At 53.1% G+C, this 17,568-nt stretch overlaps 1 protein-coding gene across 3 annotated transcripts, besides 3 other annotated features; it reads right to left on the bottom strand.

The window, feature by feature from the left end:
• Positions 4,518-5,370: an enhancer, noted in NCBI's record as "H3K4me1 hESC enhancer chr6:41735161-41736013 (GRCh37/hg19 assembly coordinates)". NCBI's record gives its function as "activates a minimal SCP1, AML or CMV promoter by ChIP-STARR-seq in primed H9 embryonic stem cells {active_cell/tissue: H9 hESC(primed)}" and the evidence as "EXISTENCE:reporter gene assay evidence [ECO:0000049][PMID:30033119]".
• Positions 7,271-16,995, bottom strand: FRS3 (fibroblast growth factor receptor substrate 3). Of its 3 annotated transcripts, XM_047418097.1 has the most exons (8): positions 16,911-16,995; positions 15,830-15,920; positions 15,128-15,271; positions 14,017-14,105; positions 12,514-12,700; positions 9,893-10,054; positions 8,911-9,059; positions 7,271-8,628 (listed from the first exon to the last, which is right to left on the bottom strand). In XM_047418097.1, exons 4-8 carry the CDS (start codon positions 14,080-14,082, stop codon positions 7,714-7,716), a joined length of 1,479 nt encoding a protein of 492 aa, XP_047274053.1. In that variant the 5' UTR covers positions 14,083-14,105; positions 15,128-15,271; positions 15,830-15,920; positions 16,911-16,995; the 3' UTR covers positions 7,271-7,713. The 3 variants fall into 3 exon arrangements, with proteins under 3 accessions (XP_047274053.1, NP_006644.1, XP_011512556.1); NM_006653.5 differs by lacking the exon at positions 15,830-15,920; XM_011514254.2 differs by lacking the exon at positions 16,911-16,995 and having other exon boundaries at positions 15,825-16,767.
• Positions 16,721-16,870: a silencer, noted in NCBI's record as "silent region_17191". NCBI's record gives its function as "represses an Ori minimal core promoter by ATAC-STARR-seq in GM12878 lymphoblastoid cells {active_cell/tissue: GM12878}" and the evidence as "EXISTENCE:reporter gene assay evidence [ECO:0000049][PMID:35858748]".
• Positions 16,901-17,310: a silencer, noted in NCBI's record as "silent region_17192". NCBI's record gives its function as "represses an Ori minimal core promoter by ATAC-STARR-seq in GM12878 lymphoblastoid cells {active_cell/tissue: GM12878}" and the evidence as "EXISTENCE:reporter gene assay evidence [ECO:0000049][PMID:35858748]".

Below are 17,568 nucleotides of genomic sequence, written 5' to 3' on the forward strand. Positions count from 1 at the left end.
TCTGTCCCCAGCACTCAGCACAGTGCCTGGCACATTAGCAGGCTCTCCATAAGTATGTGTTGGTTATGAATAGGAGACAGATTGAGATTTTAAAAAAAGAAAAAATTATGCCAGGTGCGGTGGCTCACGCTTGTAATCCCAGCACTTTGGGAGGCCAAGGTGGGCAGATCACCTGAGGTCAGGAGTTCAAGACCAGCCTGTCCAACATGATGAAACCCTGTCTCTACTAAAAATACAAAAATTAGCTGGGCGTGGTGGCGCGTGCCTGTAATCCCAGCTGAAGCAGGAGACTCACTTGAACCTGGGAGGTGGAGGTTGCAGTGAGCCGAGATCGCGCCACTGAGCTCCAGACTGGGCAACAGAGCGAGACTCTGTCTCAAAAACAAAAACAAAAAATTAAACAAAACAAAAATATGTGTTGGATGAGTGGTGAGTGAATGTCCACACCTAGTTTGAGCCACGCCTCCTCATGATCCACAGCCTGGCCCATGCAATCCACATGCAGGCGCACAGCCCACCATTCCATAGCCTGGAAAGTGCAGTCGCCTCCACTTTCCCTGACCACCCTTAACCCAGCCCTCCCACCTCATGGCCCATCTGCTTCTCTCCTCCCAACAGCCCAGTCCTTCCCCTCCCAACTGCCCTCCCACCAGGCTAATTGCTAAGCCCACACTCCCTTCTTGGTCCCCAAGTCCTCCTCATGCTCGTGGTCCACTTCCTTCAGGAAGCTTCTCCACATCACTCATTACTGTGACAACCATAACAAAGCTAAGCTTGGGCTCTGTGCCAAGTACCCACTGAAAGCTTTATGTGTGTTTTCCTACTGAACTCATAGCAACATTATGGGGTAAGTCATTAGTTCCCTTTAATAGATGAGGAAACAGGTTCAGAGAGGTTGAGTGATCTGCCTGAGGTCACACAGCTACCAAATGGCAGAGGCACGTGTCCCATAGTCCTGTCTGGTGTGATCCTCATTCCCCCAACTAGACTGCAAGCTTTGAGGAGTCAGGGCTTTGTCTGGACTCAGCCCACACAACCCAGATTCTGTATCCTGGGCCCATTGTGTCCAGTGTTTGGGAAATCAAAGTCACTAACCTGTGTGACTGTACATTGTGTCTCCCCTCCCCCACCCCCCATGAATAAAAAATTGATATGTTCCTCAGGCTATTTAATCCCAGGGACAGGAGCTCACTGGGGAAAATGGCCAGCACCAGCCCACTGGACCAGAGAGACAAGGAGCCTCAAAGGATCGCTGGTAACTCTTCCCCACCCCACACACCCCTCAGCCTGATGTCCTGCACCCTGCCTGCCATTGCTGCTCTCACCTCCTCCCCAGCAGCTGCCCAGCTCTCTCCAACCCAGGCAGCACACAGTCAAGATGAACAATTTAATTACAATTTACATTTATTTTCCCCCAGAGAGCCAGAGCCCCCAGTTCTCCATCTTGTCACCTCACACACTTTTTCTGGGACGTTATTACCCAGAGGGCAACCAGGCCAGGCTGAAGAGGGGCAGGTAGAGGGAGGCAACAAGGAGGGTCCCCCAAGGGATCATGCCTCTCCAGCTATGGGGGTAAAGTGCAGGGAGAAGGAGACAGCTGTAGATACCCTCCTTCATCAGCAGGGCTAATGGTTCCCTGCCCCCACCCATTAACTCAGTCATTATACTAATGATCCCTTAAAAATGAGCCTAATGGCCAGGGTGAGGTGGCTCATGCCTGTGATCCCAGAACTTTGGGAGGCCGAGGCGGGTGGATCACAAGGTCAGGAGTTCCAGACCAGCCTGGCCAATATGGTGAAACCCTGTCTCTATTAAAAATACAAAAATTAGCCAGGCGTGGTGGTGGGAGCCTGTAATCCCATCTACCCAGGAGGCTGAGGCAGGAGAATTGCTTGAGCCTGGGAGACGGAGCCGAGGTCACACCACTGCACTCCAGCCTGGGCGACAGAGCGAGACTCCATCTCAAAAAAAAAAAAAAAAAAAAAAAAAAAAGTGAGCCTAATGACAACCTGCACCTGGAGCACAGGTGATGCTCTCACTTGCCTGTGTCACTCATCCAACTCCTCTCCACAGGCAACTCTGCAAGGAATGACCATCCCTGGAGAAACGGGAGCCCAGAGAGACCCAGAGAGTGACTCACCTGGTGAAGCAAGACAAGTGGCGAGGCCGGGCATGGTGGCTCACACTTTTAATCCCAGCACTTTGGGAGGCCAAGGCAGGTGGATCACCTAAGGTCAGTTCAAGACCAGCCTGGTCAACATGGTGAAACCCTGTCTCTACTAAAAATACAAAAATTAGCTGGGCGTGGTGGTGGGTGCCTATAATCCCAGCTGAAGCAGGAGAATCACTTGAACCCAGGAGGCGGAGGTTGCAGTGAGCCGGTATCATGCCATTGCACTCCAGCCTGGGCGACACAGCGAGATCATCTCAAACAAACAAATACACAAACAAACAAAAAACAAGTGGCGAGAAGACCTTTTAGTCAGGGGGGCTCACAGAACCAAGTTCCCGGAAGCACTTGGCTGAGAGCTCCAGGTACTCCAGCCTCACCATCCACCCCCAGCAGAGACCCTCCTCCCAGACACTTCTCTCAGACACCCCCAGCCACCCCTCTCTACTCTTCACTTGTCTTAGAGACAATTTAGTACCTCTAAATTCCAGAACAGACTCCAATCACCTAGAAGAAATGTCACCTGAATGAACGGACAGTTAACAAGCCAAGGACTCCAATACAGAAGGGGTTGGGGGTGAGGAATACTGCAGTTGTTTAAGTGGAGACCTGGTGATTTCAGGTCAGGGTCAGCTTTAAGGGCCCAAGAGCCAACAGAGCCAGTAAAGTGCTAGCTCAGACATGATACTTATGCTAACTTGGGTACTCAGTTCTGGGTCAAACTAGAACACAAAGCAGTAGACACCTAGCCATGCTGGAAAGAACCATGTTCAAGGCTGGGTGTGGTGGCTCATGCCTGTAATCCCAGCACTTTGGGAGGCCAAGGACAGCAGATCACTTGAGGTCAGGAGTTTGAGACCAGCCTGGCCAACATGGTGAAACCTCATCTCTACTAAAAATAGAAAAATTAGCCAGGTGTGGTGGTGGGCACCTGTAATCCCAGCTACCCAGGAGGCTGAGGCAGGAAAATCGCTTGAACTTGGGAGGCGGAGGTTGCAGTGAGCTGAGATCATGCCACTGCCCTCCAGCCTGGGCTACAGAGTGAGACTCCATCTCAAAAAAAGAAAGAAAGAAAGAGAGAGAGAGAGAAGAAAAGAAAGAAAGAAAGAAAGAAAGAAAGAGAGAGAGAAAGAAGGAAGGAAGGAAGGAAAGAAAGAAAGGAAAGAAGAAAGAAAGAAAGAAAAAAGGAAAGAAAAAAGAAAGAAAGAAAGAGAAAGAAAGAAGGAAAGAAAGAAAGAGACCACGTTCAGGTAAAAATAACATCTGCCACTTACTGAGCACCTACTATGGGCCAGTCGCCATGCTTCATGCTGGGTAGACATTCTCTTGTTTGACCCTCACAACAACTGTTATTATCCCTGTGTGACAGATGAGGAAACTGGGGCATGAGTCAAGTTGTTAGTAAGTGGTGATGCCAACTTTCAAAGTTCAGCACCCTGGCAGAGAGACTAGACTTAGCCATGCTGTGATCCAGGAGCAGAATTAGGACCCAGTGGGAAGAATTATAGGGACTTCATAATACTTGAGTCAAGGGAGGGCTTGTTAGGTAGTGAGCTCCCTGTCCTGGAAATGTAAGTATCTTCAGGACTCCTGTTGCAGAAATCCCTGGATGGGTCCTAGCTTAGCTGCCCTACAAGCTCTGAGATTCTATCTTGGACCCTGTGAACTATACAGAGCCCTGAAGGGCTCACACAGGCCCTCCCCACCCTTGCCTCCGCCCTCCCTATACCTTTCTGAAAGCCCACGGGTGCCTCATTACAAGACCCCCCACCTGTGAGTAGGACACCCCTTGAAGATATTGGTCAGAGAGCGCCCCAGAGCTCAGGAAGCCTAAGCTCTGAGGGCCTCCCATGAGGCTGATTTGCTCTCTGGAGAGGCAGGCAGGGGCGAGTGAAGTCAAGCCTCTTCTTGCACACCTGCTCTGGCCTCTCCCGTCGACACAACCAGGAGCCATTTCTGAGGAAATGAGAGTAGAGGGGCAGAGTTGGTAGGTGGGCATAGGGCAGGCCCCAGGGGAGAGCAGGTTCACCCTATAGTTAACTGGGAAAGGCCTTGGCTTGGATTTCAGGATTCCTGAGTGGGAGCACTGGAATGTGATCCCCTGCTGGGACTCAATCCAGGGAGAAGCACCCAACACAGTCTCCCTGCAGCCCACCTGAGAGAATGAGGCTCCTTCAGGCCAGGCAGGGAGCAGGGGGTGGAGGAGACACACGACAGGCATCCAGCCCTAGCCCAAGCCACCAATTAACTTCATGGCCTGAGGCAAGTTACGTCACCTCTTGGCCTGTTTCCTCCTCTGTACAGTGATGATAACATCCCGCCAGTGAGGCCTGATAAATATTCGACAAGGCCCTGTGGAAAGCTGACTGTGTTTATACCCTTGTAAAGTGCTATTATTACCCGGGGGGACCTTGGGAAGGGCCCCTCCTGGTCTGACCTGAAATGTCACTCCCAGACAGGATGCTGGATCCTGTCCTTTCCTGAGGGCAGCCCAGGGGTGGGTAGGGCCTGTTTCTAAAGAAGAGAACCCAGCACTCGGCAAACATGCACTGATGCTGGTGATGATCTTTGGATGATGATGGTGATGGAAACTGATTCCATCTGTGCACCACAGCCTGACGGCAGGGCGGGCTCAAACACAGGGGCGGCAGTTACCCTCCTGGGCATCGCTCCCACCCACCCCTTCCCGCCAGGAAAGCTGTCCACTCACACCCTGTCCTTCCCTCGAGAGGAAAATTCCTGTAGTAGACCTCATGGGCCAGAGGCAGTGACCAGGGGAGGGGACAGGAAAGGTTGGGGGCCACACTGAGCTGGAAGTCGACTCCTTCGACACCCCCAAGCCCCACAAAATGATCATCGAAGCAATTATGACTTGCTCTAGGGAGACCCCAGGGGTCAGGCCAGGATCTGGCGACCCAGAGAATGAGAATAACTGCCCCTTCTTGATTTGTTCAGCAAAGCGACAGCCTAGGGGGACTTAAGAGTTGTGACTTCTAAGGGAACAGCTGAGTTGTTAACACAGCTTGCAGGAGCCTTGTCTACTTCCAAAGTGGGGCCATGTTCATCGTTTCATTGGCTACTTCTCATACCAGCTCCATGTCTTCCAGGTACAAAAGCCGAGCCCAATTGGGTAACCAAATGCTTAAGGTAGCAGAGATAATGACCCAGTCAGGACAGGTCTCTTAAGCCAGCCTCTGGCTACCCCATCATAGTATCTGTCCATCGATAAGGCGGAGCCTGCACTGACCCATGAGTCACAAACACGGCCAGGACCCCTAAGCCTGGTCCCGGCATAGCCATACCTGCCCCCACATATCCACCCTCCTGTTTGGAGACACCCACCACCCCAACTGTGGAGGTCATGAGTAGTAGCAGGGGTAGTGTATGTGGACATCCAAACAGAATTGAGCTGCTTGGTAAGGCTGCAGAGAGAAGACAGCATTTCCCTACTACAGTGTGGAAAACTGCAATGAATCCAGCCTGCAGCAGGTGACCCCTCTGGTCCAGAGATCAAAAGGATATAAGGGGGAGAAGGGTTTGGTGCCAGCTCTGGGGTTGTGGCAGCTGCCCTCTTGAGCTCTGCTGGGCCCCACTCGAAGGGCCTTTTCACATCCTGTTGTGGCCAGTCGTCACTGCCCATTTCACTGACAGAAAGTGACACCTGAGGTCGGGGGGTCTGAAAGCTTCCAGTCCAACCCCCACTCAGAGGAGGTAGGATCCAGGAAATGAGGCCCAGGCAGCAGTGTCCTGGACAGTAGGAGGGGGAGGGAACTGGGTGGGGTGTCTCGCCTGGGCTTGTTTCCTTGGTGACGAAGAGGACAGGTCTGCTTGCTCCACAGGACAGGGAGCTGGAGCACAAACAGTGACAAGGCTTTTCCCCAAGTTGGACAAACACAACTCTCATTCTTCACCTGGGCCCTGAGTGGCTTATCACAAAAGCAGCATTTCCTTTAGATGAACCGCACTGGGGTTTCAGACAGAAATGGAGTCTTGGAGGAAAGGAAGCCAGCAAGAGGAGGAGGAGGAGGAGAGAGGCAGCCTCATGACAGAGAAAGGAGCTCCTGGAACAGATCAGCACTAGGTTGTGTGTGCAGCACAGCCCCGCTGGACCCTGTGCTTCCAGGCAGGTGCTCCAATGTGGCGGCTCTGTTAGCGCCCAGCCTTGTGGCAGGGTAGAGGCATCCTAACAGTCCATTCCTGAAGGGACGTTCTCTAGGAAAGACACTTAGCAAGCCAGATTATCTAGTTACACATTACACTGTATTTTTTCATTTTGCTATAATCCTAGGATTTTAGTAAAGTCCTGTTTAAAGGTTTGGTCTTGACTCAGCCATGCTGGGGGCAGCTAAGGAGGATCCAGGATCCATCTCTGGGCCAAGGTGGTAAAGGACAGCAGTGCCCTTTGGGGCCTGCCTATTGGCAGGGGCGTCAGTGAGGGCTCCCCAAGAAGGCGAAGGTGTCTCTTCTGTAGCTGTGCCCGCTCCGCTGCACTCCTCACCTGTTACCAGCCTCAGAGGGCTGGGCTCTACCTCATTAGGGCAGTCCTCACAGGCTCCCCTTTTGGCTTCTAGGACTCCAGCCATCCCACCCCTTTCCTTCAACAGAGCATCCATCCCTGGCAACTGTAGGTTCATGACCAGGGCTTCTTGGAGGAGAAAAATAAATGACTGGCCGGGCGCGGTGGCTCACGCCTGTAATCCCAGCACTTTGGGAGGCTGAGGTGGGTGGATCACCTGAGGTCAGGAGTTTGAGACCAGGCTGGCCAACATGGAGAAGCCCCATCTCTACTAAAAATACAAAAATTAGCTGGGCACGGTGGCAGGCACCTGTAACTCTAGCTACTTGGGAGGCTGAGGCGGGAGAACTGCTTGAGCCCGGGAGGTGGAGATTGCAGTGAGCTGAAATCACGCCACTGCACTCCAGCCTGGGCCACAAGAGCGAAACTCTGTCTCAAAAAAAAAAAAAATCATGGACTTGTCACAAAAACCATAACTGACCCAAATTCCCCAGAGTGAAGCCCTTACCTCGATTAGGCCTGCCCTGTGTCCAACCCAGGACCACACCAGAAAAGATTCCCTAAGAAGATGATATCCACTGGGCCAGAATTTAAAAATAATTATATTAATAATAAATATGTTAAATTACATTTAAAACAATAAATAGAAAAATAAACTGATAAATAAAATCAACAGGTACAAAATGTTTCAAAATTCCAACCAAAAAAAACACACACGGACAGTCGGCAGACAAGACAAATGGACAGAACGGGAGGGCGCTAAACGCAATCACAGGAACCCTTCACAGTTGACGTCTCGGCTCCCTCCTCGCCTGGTCACCCTTCTCTCCCCAGCCTGGAGACAGACCAGGAGACTCGGTGGCTGATATCTCTGGGGACTCCAGCCAGCACAGGGAAGCATCTGGTCCCACCTCCATGCCTTCTGCAAAGCAACCCTGAACCCTGGGGAGGGTGGGTTCAGAGGACAGGAGTGTGAGGCAGAGGCTGGATCATGGTGGGGCAGAGGGTGGTGAGGACCGGGAAGTCCCTACAGAGGCAGGTCGGTGCTGTTGTGCCGGGTTTTCCTGGCGGTGCCATCGTCTCGGGGCAGAGCTCTCTGCAGGTTGGACATGGCCACGGTCTTTTTGAGGTCAATCACGGCGTAGGAGTCTGAGCTTCGGGCAGGGTGGGTGGTGGGCATGGGGGCTTGGGGGCTCGAGGGGTTCTGGGGCCCCTTAGGGCGGTCTCCACCCCAGCCCTTTAGCTCCACCTGGATGTAGTTAAGCTGCCTTGGGGGCTCGGGCCCCGGCCGGCGGAAATCAAAGTTGAAGACCCTTGGGGAGCCGCGGCGGCGGGTCAGTGGCACAGGAAAGCTGCCGTGGCTGCGGATGGCGGCCCGGGTGCTGGTGGGCTTCTGCAGTGGGGTCTCGTCCTCCTCACCATCAGGGAAGCCATTGGAAGAGGGTGTGAGCCCATCCCTCGAGTCCCCATCATCCCCAGCCTCCCCTCCCAGCTGCTGGGCTTGGCTTTCCCACACAGGGGGCAGTGGGGGCAGGTTCTCATAGTGCAGCAGGGCGGCCCGGCGGTGGGCAAGGCCATTCCAGCCCGGCTCCTCTGGGCTCAGTCTCCAGCCAGCCCCTCGCCACAGCCCCCCGGTGACGTTCTCGTAGGTGCACTTGGGCTGGGCTGGACACTCAGAAGGGGCCTCATTGTTATTATTGTGGTGTGGGGGGTCATGCAGGCTGGGACAGAGGCCCTGGCACTTCACCATGTGCCGCCGAGCAGGGGTCGGGCCCAACACAAACTTCACCTGGCCTGGCTGCAAGAACACCTGTGGGTCCCGTTGGTCAGGTCCCCGGGCCTGCGGGAGGAAGGGTGCCTGACCCTCAGGCAGGGGCTGCAGGCAGTGGCGGCCCCTGCGGTGGTCATCTTCACTGGCCGGTGTGTTGACATAGGTGTGGGACTGGGGAAAGAGTCCAAGTGAGGCAGGAGTGTCCCAGGGCAGGGAGAAAAGAGAACAGAAGGGACAGGATGAGAGAAAAGAAGCACACAGAAAAAGACCTGGAGTTTCTTCTTCCTTGTCCTCCAACCCTTCTGAGGAAGCTGCTCCCTTTTGGGGACAGGAAGGGACCGTTACAATGTTCTTCCCCTTCCCGTGATCCTTACTGGGAGGAGGTGGCCTTATTTCCTATCCCTCGTCCCCACCCAGACCAACAGGGCAGGGGCTGGCCGGCTGCGTGCTCACCTGCTCATCAGGAGCAATGAGGGCATGGGTGGACTCTTCCCCAAGCGAGGGGTGCCGCAGGCTGCTTGTCGAGAGCCGCCGGGGAGCTGAGAATCGTGGGCCCTCTCCAGGGCAGCCATTGGAAAAGCTGGAGACAGTGTAGCCTAGAGCTGAGCACACGGGAGACAAGCCCAGGAGAGGGGAACTTAAGCCACCTGACAACCACTTGCAGCTGTGTGTGTGGCATCCTGGGACTCCTCTAATGGAGGACAGATGTTCTCAGGGCGTCACAGTGGTTAAACCCCACTGAGCCACCAGCCCCCCATTATCCTTCATCTTTCCTCTGCTCTTCAAACCCTGCCCTTTCCCTCAAGCTCAGCTTGAAGCACCTCACCACTGTCTCCATTATAGCCTCACCCGAAACGCATAAAGCACATCTTGCTGTCACTGGACCGTCCCTTTGCTTCATTCTAGGTCTGCCAGTAAGGTCCAGGGAAGCTCCTCAAAAAAAGGGACTGCGCTTCTATTTCTCCTGTCCCCCATGGGCCAGTCCAAGGAGCGCTGAATACCAAACAGGTACCTGATCTGAATTCAATGACTGAATAAGCAGAAATTGTAGGACCCTCTCCAGAATACGGTCATGGCCAGAGATGCCTGCACCAGCAGCAAGGAAGGTATATGGGGATGACCCAATAGACAGAGGAAGAAAGCAAAAAAACTCCAGACTGCCAATTCTACGGAAACCCAAAGTCTTCCTGTCTGCTCCCCAACCATCAGTCAATACAAGGCCCAGAACTCAACAACCTCAGTTTGAGTCACCTAGCCCAGCCCAGGACTTACCGATCCTCAAGAATGGTTCTGATCATGGACAACTGTCCTGGAAGGTTGGCTCACCCAGCCTTCTCCCAACCAGCCAGCTTAACTAGTCCCTCAGATTTGTGCTTCCTGGGCGTGTGTGTGTGTGTGTGTGTGTGTGTGTGTGTGTACACTGGGGTCTCCTCACCATTGGGTGGCTGGGGGGCTCGAGGGAGGTCAAGCTCAGCGGGGTGGCTATTGCGGGTGATGATGACAGGCTCTTCCATCACATTGATGCTGTTGCACTGCATCAGATCCTGAAGGAGGTTGAAGATTTCCTCAGCCCGGGAACACTTAAATGCAAATATTCCTGGAGAAGGAGAGGAAGAAATGACCCTAGGCAATAGGGAAGGACCAGAGGAGCTCAACAGATGCACAATGTGCAGGAAATGTCCCTCAACTCCAGTCCCAGGCCTGTAGGGGCAGGAGAGCCTCTCCTCATCTTGAGCATTCTTTTTCTTTTCTTTTTTGAGATGGAGTTTTGCTCTTGTTGCCCAGGCTGGAGTGCAATGGTGCGATCTCAGCTCACTGCAACCTCTGCCTCCCAGGTTCAAGCAATTCTCCTGCCTCAGCCTCCCAAGTAGCTGGGATTACAGGCGCCCGCCATTACACCTGGCTAATTTTTTGTATTTTTAGTTGAGACGGGGTTTCACCATGTTGGTCAGGCTGGTCTCAAACTCCTGACCTCAGGTAATCGGCCTGCTGCGGCCTCCCAAAGTGCTGGGATTACAGGCGTGAGCCACCACGCCTGGCCCTGAGCATTCTTTCTAGGTCTGCTCTAGAATCCAAGAGCTACTAGAAAGGCTGGGTCCAAGGTACCCTGCCCCAGCACGCCCACACCACATTGAACACTCCAGCTATATTGCTCTGAAGCGAAATCATTTTCATAAGGATGTGTGTGTTCAGGGGTCACAAGAAGAGAATCAAAACCAAAGTGGAGGCCGGGCATGATGGCTCACGCCTGTAATCCCAGCACTTTGGGAGGCCGAGGAGGGTGGATCACCTGAAGTCAGGAGTTCAAGACCAGCCTGGCCAACATGGTGAAACCCTGTCTCTACTAAAAATACAAAAAATTAGCCAGGCGTGGTGGTGAGCACCTGTAATCCCAACTACTCAGGAGGCTGAGGCAGGAGAATTGCTTGAACCTCGGAGGTGGAGGGTGCAGTGAGCCGAGATTGTGCCACTGCACTTCAGCCTGGGTGACAGAGCGAGACTCTGTCTCAAAAAAAAAGAAAAAAGAAAAGAAAAAAAACAAAACCAAAAGCCAAGGTGGAAAGGATAGTATTAGATGAGTGAACATTCTTCTTTTATTTTTTCGGAGACGGAGTCTCACCCTGTTGCCCAGGCTGGAGTGCAGTGGTGCGATCTCAGCTCACTGCAAGCTCCGCCTCCCGGGTTCACGCCATTCTCCTGCCTCAGCCTCCCAAGTAGCTGGGACTACAGGTGCCCGCTACCATGCCCAGCTAGTTTTTTGTATTTTTAGTAGAGACAGGGTTTCACCGTGTTAGCCAGGATGGTCTCGATCTCCTGACCTCGTGATCCGCCCACCTCAGCCTCCCAAAGTTCTGGGATTACAGGTGTGAGCCACTGAGCCCAGCCAGGTGAGCGAACACTCTACCTCACATGCTTCCCCCATCTTCCTCTGCCTAACACCCCCTGCTTCCTAGGAAAAAAAACTCCATCCAGAGCACCAGCCCTCAGATCGCTGATGACAAGAGGGTCTACTCTGTTCCCTGCTTCTTCACTTATTAGCCCAGTGTGTGGCCAGAAAGCAAATGCCTACTGTATATAGGTCCCTAACCTCATAGATTAAACTCTGGCACGGGAAGGAAGAAATCATGGGCAGACTAGCTAAAGGCAAACATGGCAAGGCAATCACAAGGCTCCTCAATGCAGCCAGCCTCACAGCCCTTCAAATTGCAACACTGCAACTCAAGGTCCCAGGAACAGCAGGACTGGGCTGAGTGTCTGTCAATCAGGGGACTCAAAGATGCCCTTGGGGTACTGGGCCAGCATGGACTCCTCTGTAACAGGGGGACCTGGGACCTAGGGGAGGCTACGTGGGGTGTGCCTGTGCATATACCCACAACTAAGACACAATTAGCCTGGGGAATGGGACAACTATGGTTTGCACAAATAGGATGGGGAGGAAACAGGGAAGAAAAATAACTACTCTGGCAAAATATGACGAGAAGTAGAAAAGACTGGGAAAGACTGGAGTTGTAGAGAACCCCGTGTTGGGGCCAGGGGTAGCCCCTCTGGGAACCCAAGTGTAGATCAAACATCACTAGGAGCAAGGATGCCTCTGCCTGCTCTGCCTGCTCACCCAGCGCCCCTGCCTCTGCCTCATGAATTCCAAAGGTAAGATGCATGGAGGGAAGTCTCCTCCAGCAAACATGACCTCGGAGGCTCACTATTTTGTTGGCAGCCTCATCAGAGAAGCTTGTTCATTCCACCTCTGCACAGCCATAATCCCAAACTGCACTGAACACAATCCCATGCAGGATTCCTTTTGCACAGCTTAAGTCTGGATCCTAAGAGATAAACTCAGACCATGCCACTTCTTCAGAGAGCTGTGGCTGGCTCTAGCCTTGACCTTATGGAATAACCTACCACCCCTGACCTCTGACTGCAGGGAGAATACATCACACTCTACTGCCCACAGGTGATGGGGATAACACTAACCTCTTGAGGGCTAACCTATACATTAGGAACCCTGGAGTACTGCATAAGCCCCTATCCCAGGGTGGAGCAGGGCCTGGTACTCACCCTGGCCTGTCTGACATCGGCGGCCACTCTCAAAGGAGAAGAGGTTGGAGTCGTAGCCATAGCGCCGCAAGCAGAGATAAGGCCAGCGGACGGCCTCACGCCGATGCAGGTGCAGCACCAGCTCACTCTGCGTCAGCTCCATCACCCCAGAGCCCAGCTCCACCCCCTCATCATCCACATTTGTCACCTGGAGGGGAGAAGACAGAAGGGTCAATGAGTGAGTCCAACAAGTGTTTGCATGGGTCCCTGAGCCACTGGGAGACAATCTGATGCAGGACAAGAGGTGGGGAACCAAAGGTCACATCCGACTATCACAGACTCTACTGAATGCCACATAACTACATGAAGCAGTGCCATGGACCCACGGCAGTTCTCTGGGCAAATCCTACTTCTCTAGTGCTGAGTTTTGTCATATGGACAGTGAGGGAAGAGGTAGGTAGCTGACTTCCAAGGTCGGTTTGTTAGATAACAAATGTTAGACGACCCTAGACAGCCCATGCCTTAGTATCCAAGGGCCAGATGTTAATGGGGAAGGGGTTCAATTGTAAATTCAAAATCTTGAGACTGGGACACCCTGACCTAGGAAAGTCAAGCCCAAGGCAGAACCAATGCACATCTCCTCTACCACCTCCCCAACTGTGTGCCCTTACTGAGGGCTCCCTCTTCTGGTGGGCAGGAGAAACATGTGCTTCAACATGCCCCAGAATGAGGAAGGAGGAGGCTCCCTCTACAGAGAGGTGGGCAGGGGAGAGCACAGGTCGACTTGGGTCTGCCCTCAGCTTCCCACAGCAAACAGCAAACACTGATGTTGTGCTTACTGTGTGCTAAGCACTATTTAATTTATTTATTTATTTATTTTTTGAGATGGCATCTCGCTCTGTCACCCAGGCTGAAGTGCAGCGGTGCAATCTCAGCCCACTGCAACCTCCACCTCCCGGGTTCAAGTGATTCTCCTGCCTCAGCCTCCCAAGTAGCTGGGATTACAGGCGTGTGCCACCATACCTGGCTAATTTTTGTATTTTTAGTAGAGACGGGGTTTCGCCATGTTGGCCAGGCTGGTCTCGAGCTCCTGACCTCAGGTGATCCGCCTGCCTTGGCCTCCAAAAGTGCTGGTATTACAGGTGTGAGCCACCGTGCCTGGCCACTAAGCACTATTTTAAATACTTTACGTATATTAACTCACAAATACAGAATTTTGTTTTCTCTAAAAAAAAAAGGGGGGGGGATATATAAAGTTATAAAAATACACTGACAACAGTTCCAAAAGCACCATTATGGCATTTCTTCATTCTTGGTAGTATCAAGAGCCATGAAAACAGCAGTGGTCTGGGCCTCTTTTCCTCAGGCTACTTGAGAGGGTGTGAGCTCAAGAAGTCTCCATAAGCCCACAACCTCAGCCTGGCATTTGATTTGCTGTTAGAGAAGCTGAGGCAACTCCATTAAATTGTGTCTGAGCCCAAGAGGCCATGTTGGGAACACAGGAGAGGAGAGGGCTCTGGGTACCTTGAACTTGGTGGGGTGGTTGTCTGGAACGCTGTCTCTGTTCAGGCAGCTGCAGCAGCTCCCCATGGTGTCAGAGCAGCCAGCCTGCCCTAGGAAAAACATACAGGATATGCAGGTCACCAACTTCAGCTTCAAAAAACCCTGCTCTGGGGAACTTGGGCAGAAGCACGTCATTGTGATCACCTACTCTGTCCAAGAGACTGTGTGATACAGACCCCCCCTCAAAGACTTCACATTCTCAATCCAGGGCCAGACACACATTGGATAAACGTTAATTCAAGTTACAATGTGTTAAGGATGAATGCCGATGGGGGGCTGGAGAGAGCTTCTCAGAGGTAACATTTGATCTGGACCTTGAGAAGTATGTAGGATTCTGACCCATGTAATGACAAGGAAGGCAGGGACACAGGCAGGAAGAAAAGTAGGGGTCCAGGAGAAGTGATCTGCAGCAGATGGAGGTGGGTGCCAGCCCGAGCCCCTTATTTGGATTCAGCAAAGAAATTGTCACTTGGGGGTCTCAGACACTTTGGCCTGTGCCTGTCTCTTTTTTCCTCCCTTTTTACCTCATCCATTCCACTTCATCCAAGTTCTCTCTTCTCCCTTACTACCATCCCAACATCCAGTGCAAATTTATCTTTCTGATGTCCTCTTCAAATGAGTTGTTACATTGTGATCATAAAGATATATTCAGAAGACTGAACATTTAAAACAGTGCAGTTTTAATAACCTCAAGTGGATATTTCTTCATTTAAAAAAAATGCTGGGTTTCCTTCCCTTTTTCTGAAGGGGAGACCAGAGGCCTTACTATTTGGCTCTTCCCCTCCAGGATTCCAGTACTTGGATTATATGTCACAATAGTCAGGACTGTGCCTAGAATGAAGAGGACACCACCCAAGCTTGAATGACCTAAGGGAACAAGAAATGCATGGACCAATACCAAGCAGAAGTTTTAAGGGGTTGCAACTTGTCACAAGAAATAAGTCTGTAGGATTGGCTATCCTTCTAGAACTCCTGCTGAATGGTAAAGCTTTGAACAACCAGGTGACCTGTACCCTCTGTTCCTCCCAACTTGGGAAACGCCATAAAACTGACCCCTATACACAGCTCTTACCTCACCCAGGCCATCGGGGAGCTGACCGTGGGAGGGGCATGGGGAAGGGTTCCCACTTTATTCCCCCCGTCCTTGGTGGGCTGTCATGGCAAACAGTCTGCAGAGAAGTCACCCGGATCCCTCTGGGATACACCTGGGGCTCACCTAGCATAGGAAACAGAGACACTGATTAACAAAACCTTCTATCTTCACCCCCAACTGTTAATGAAAACTGACCTAACAGTCCATCCCACCTGGGTATCTGTTCCAGCCCTAATGGGACAAAAACACCAATGAAGAAAGTAAAATCAAGGGCAAAGGGAGCACAAATCCCAAGCCCCACGGGCCCTGAGAGGGACAGACACCAAGAACATCAATAAGTTTGAAGTCTAAGACGACCAAAGACCTTTTAAGTCACTTTAGATCTCCCTCTGAGTCCTGTTACAACAAACACCAAAACCATCACCTTACCTTTGCAGAGAACTTTAACTCTACAAAGAGCTTTCTCAAAAGGACACTGTGATATAGTAGAGACAGCACTGGTTTAAGACTCAGGAAACCAATATATCGGTCAGTTTTGTTGCTACTAAGTATCTGGGAGACTTAAGTCAACGCCCCCCCCAACTCCCACCTAAGGCCTTAGTTTTTGGGGGAACCATCTATAAACTGGGGAGCTTCTAGCTTAAATAACTTGCAGAGGTAAAAACGTAAGACAAACTTCACTAAAATTGACATGTTCATCTTCCAAGACAGGCTGCTTCAATTTCGCATTTGGAAGCTTGATAGATTTTCTGCTCCCCAAGCTCTGAAAGGCCTAATTTTAACATAAATGTTAACAGTAAGCCAAAATTTCAGGATATCTGAGCCCAAGGTAGACAAGTCAACAAGCCAGGACTCTGCAGACCCTGGACATCCCACATTCCTGCTCTGGAGAAACACTTCCCAGGGCCCCTTGCACCCTGCATCCTTGGACAACTTCCAGGTAAAAGGACCCCATCCCCTTGGTCTGGCTTATTTTCTGGAAGGAAGAAGCAGGCTCAGGGAGGTGTGCACAGACTAAAGATAGGTTGCTGGGAAAATACTGGGGCTTGAGCCACCGACGGGGGCACGGCGCGGGCACTGAAACGAAGAACTCTAGGGTGCAAGATGGGGGAGGGGCTGAATTTCCCTATCACCATCTCTTCTCCTTAAGATATCAGGATGTATCAGATAGCCCACTGAGGAGGGACTGCATTGAGTGGAAATGGGGAGAGGCCTCTGGTCTGGGATAGGTATGGATCAGGGGCAGGAGTGAGAGGGGGGTGTGGGGGCTGAAAACGTATGAGGACGTTTGGGGAAACATGAGCAAGAATTTTGGATGTGGGCATTTTGGATAGTGCAAGGAGAATGGGGATATGAGGGATCCTAGGAATTTCCGGGCAGTGGAAGCATTTGGGGGCATCCAAGAGAAATGGTGGGTCCGTGGGCATAGCAGGAGATTTGTTGAGTGAATGAGGGGGTTCTGAGGGCTCCAGGAGATGCGATGATGTGTCCAGGGCGGAGAGGGTAGAGGTGGGTTGGGGGAGCCAGAGGCTGCAGGACAGGCTACAGGACTGTCAAGGGGAATTTCTACATGCCCGTAAGGAATGAGGAGGTCTGGGTGCGCGCTGTCCCCGGATCCCCGCCCCCAGCCCCGGTGCTCCGCCGCCTGCCCGCCCGCCCGGGGCTTCCTAGGGAGGGAGTGGAGACTGCGGCGCGGCGCGGCGCGGCGCGGCGCGGCCTCGGTGAAGCCGCCTCGTCCCCGCCCCGCCGCGCCCCGACTCACATCGCCCCGCGGCCCGGGCGGCGCCGGGCCCCGCTCCCGGGTCCCGCTGCAGCAGCCGCCGCCCGCCCGGAGCTAAGGCCTCCCCGCCCCGCCCCGCCCCGCGGCCGCGGGGTCGGAGGTCACCGGCAGCACCAACGAGACGCTGCGGGCTGGCGGACCCGAGCGGGGGCGACCGGCACGCAGCCTAGAAGGTCCCTTTGGAGGACTTTGCAGTCGGGAGCAGTGAGCATGCGCAGACGCCAGAGGGCGCTCCTGGCCAGGGGCTGAGCAAGCCCGGAGGGGACAGGGCGGAGCCTGCGGCGGAGGCGGGGCGCGGAGGCGGGGCTGAGGACACCAAAGTTGGGGGTGGTCCGGGGAGCGGAAAGGGGACGGAGGGTTGGGCGAGAAACGAAGGGAAGGGGAGAGGGTCTGAAGGGACCTGAAAGGAGAAGGGCAAGACGATGGAACCTGGAAGAGGGTTGAGGGGAGGGGAAGGGGCCAGGGGGACCACTGGGGACAAGGGGGAGAGAACTGAAGGGAAACACGCGGAGGAGCGGGGCTGGGAGACCACAGGGAGAGTTTGGGGAGACCTGGGAACTGCGGAGAGACAGGGCTGCGGGCCCGGCGAGGCGTTTCCATTCAGCGAATGGTTGAAAACCCAGCGTAAACGCGGCTCCCG

The sequence above is a fragment of the Homo sapiens genome, chromosome 6 (assembly GCF_000001405.40).
Source record: "Homo sapiens chromosome 6, GRCh38.p14 Primary Assembly".
NCBI lineage: Eukaryota > Metazoa > Chordata > Mammalia > Primates > Hominidae > Homo > Homo sapiens.

Bases quoted from the DNA above. Each gene is read 5' to 3' on its own strand.
- FRS3 (NM_006653.5), bottom strand. From the start codon at position 14,082: ATGGGGAGCTGCTGCAGCTGCCTGAACAGAGACAGCGTTCCAGACAAC. The intron at 12,701-14,016 runs GTACCCAGAGCC...TCTCCCCTCCAG, and splicing joins ACCACCCCACCAAGTTCAAG to GTGACAAATGTGGATGATGA. The intron at 9,060-9,892 runs GTGAGGAGACCC...CCGTGTGCTCAG, and splicing joins AGCCCCCCAGCCACCCAATG to CTCTAGGCTACACTGTCTCC.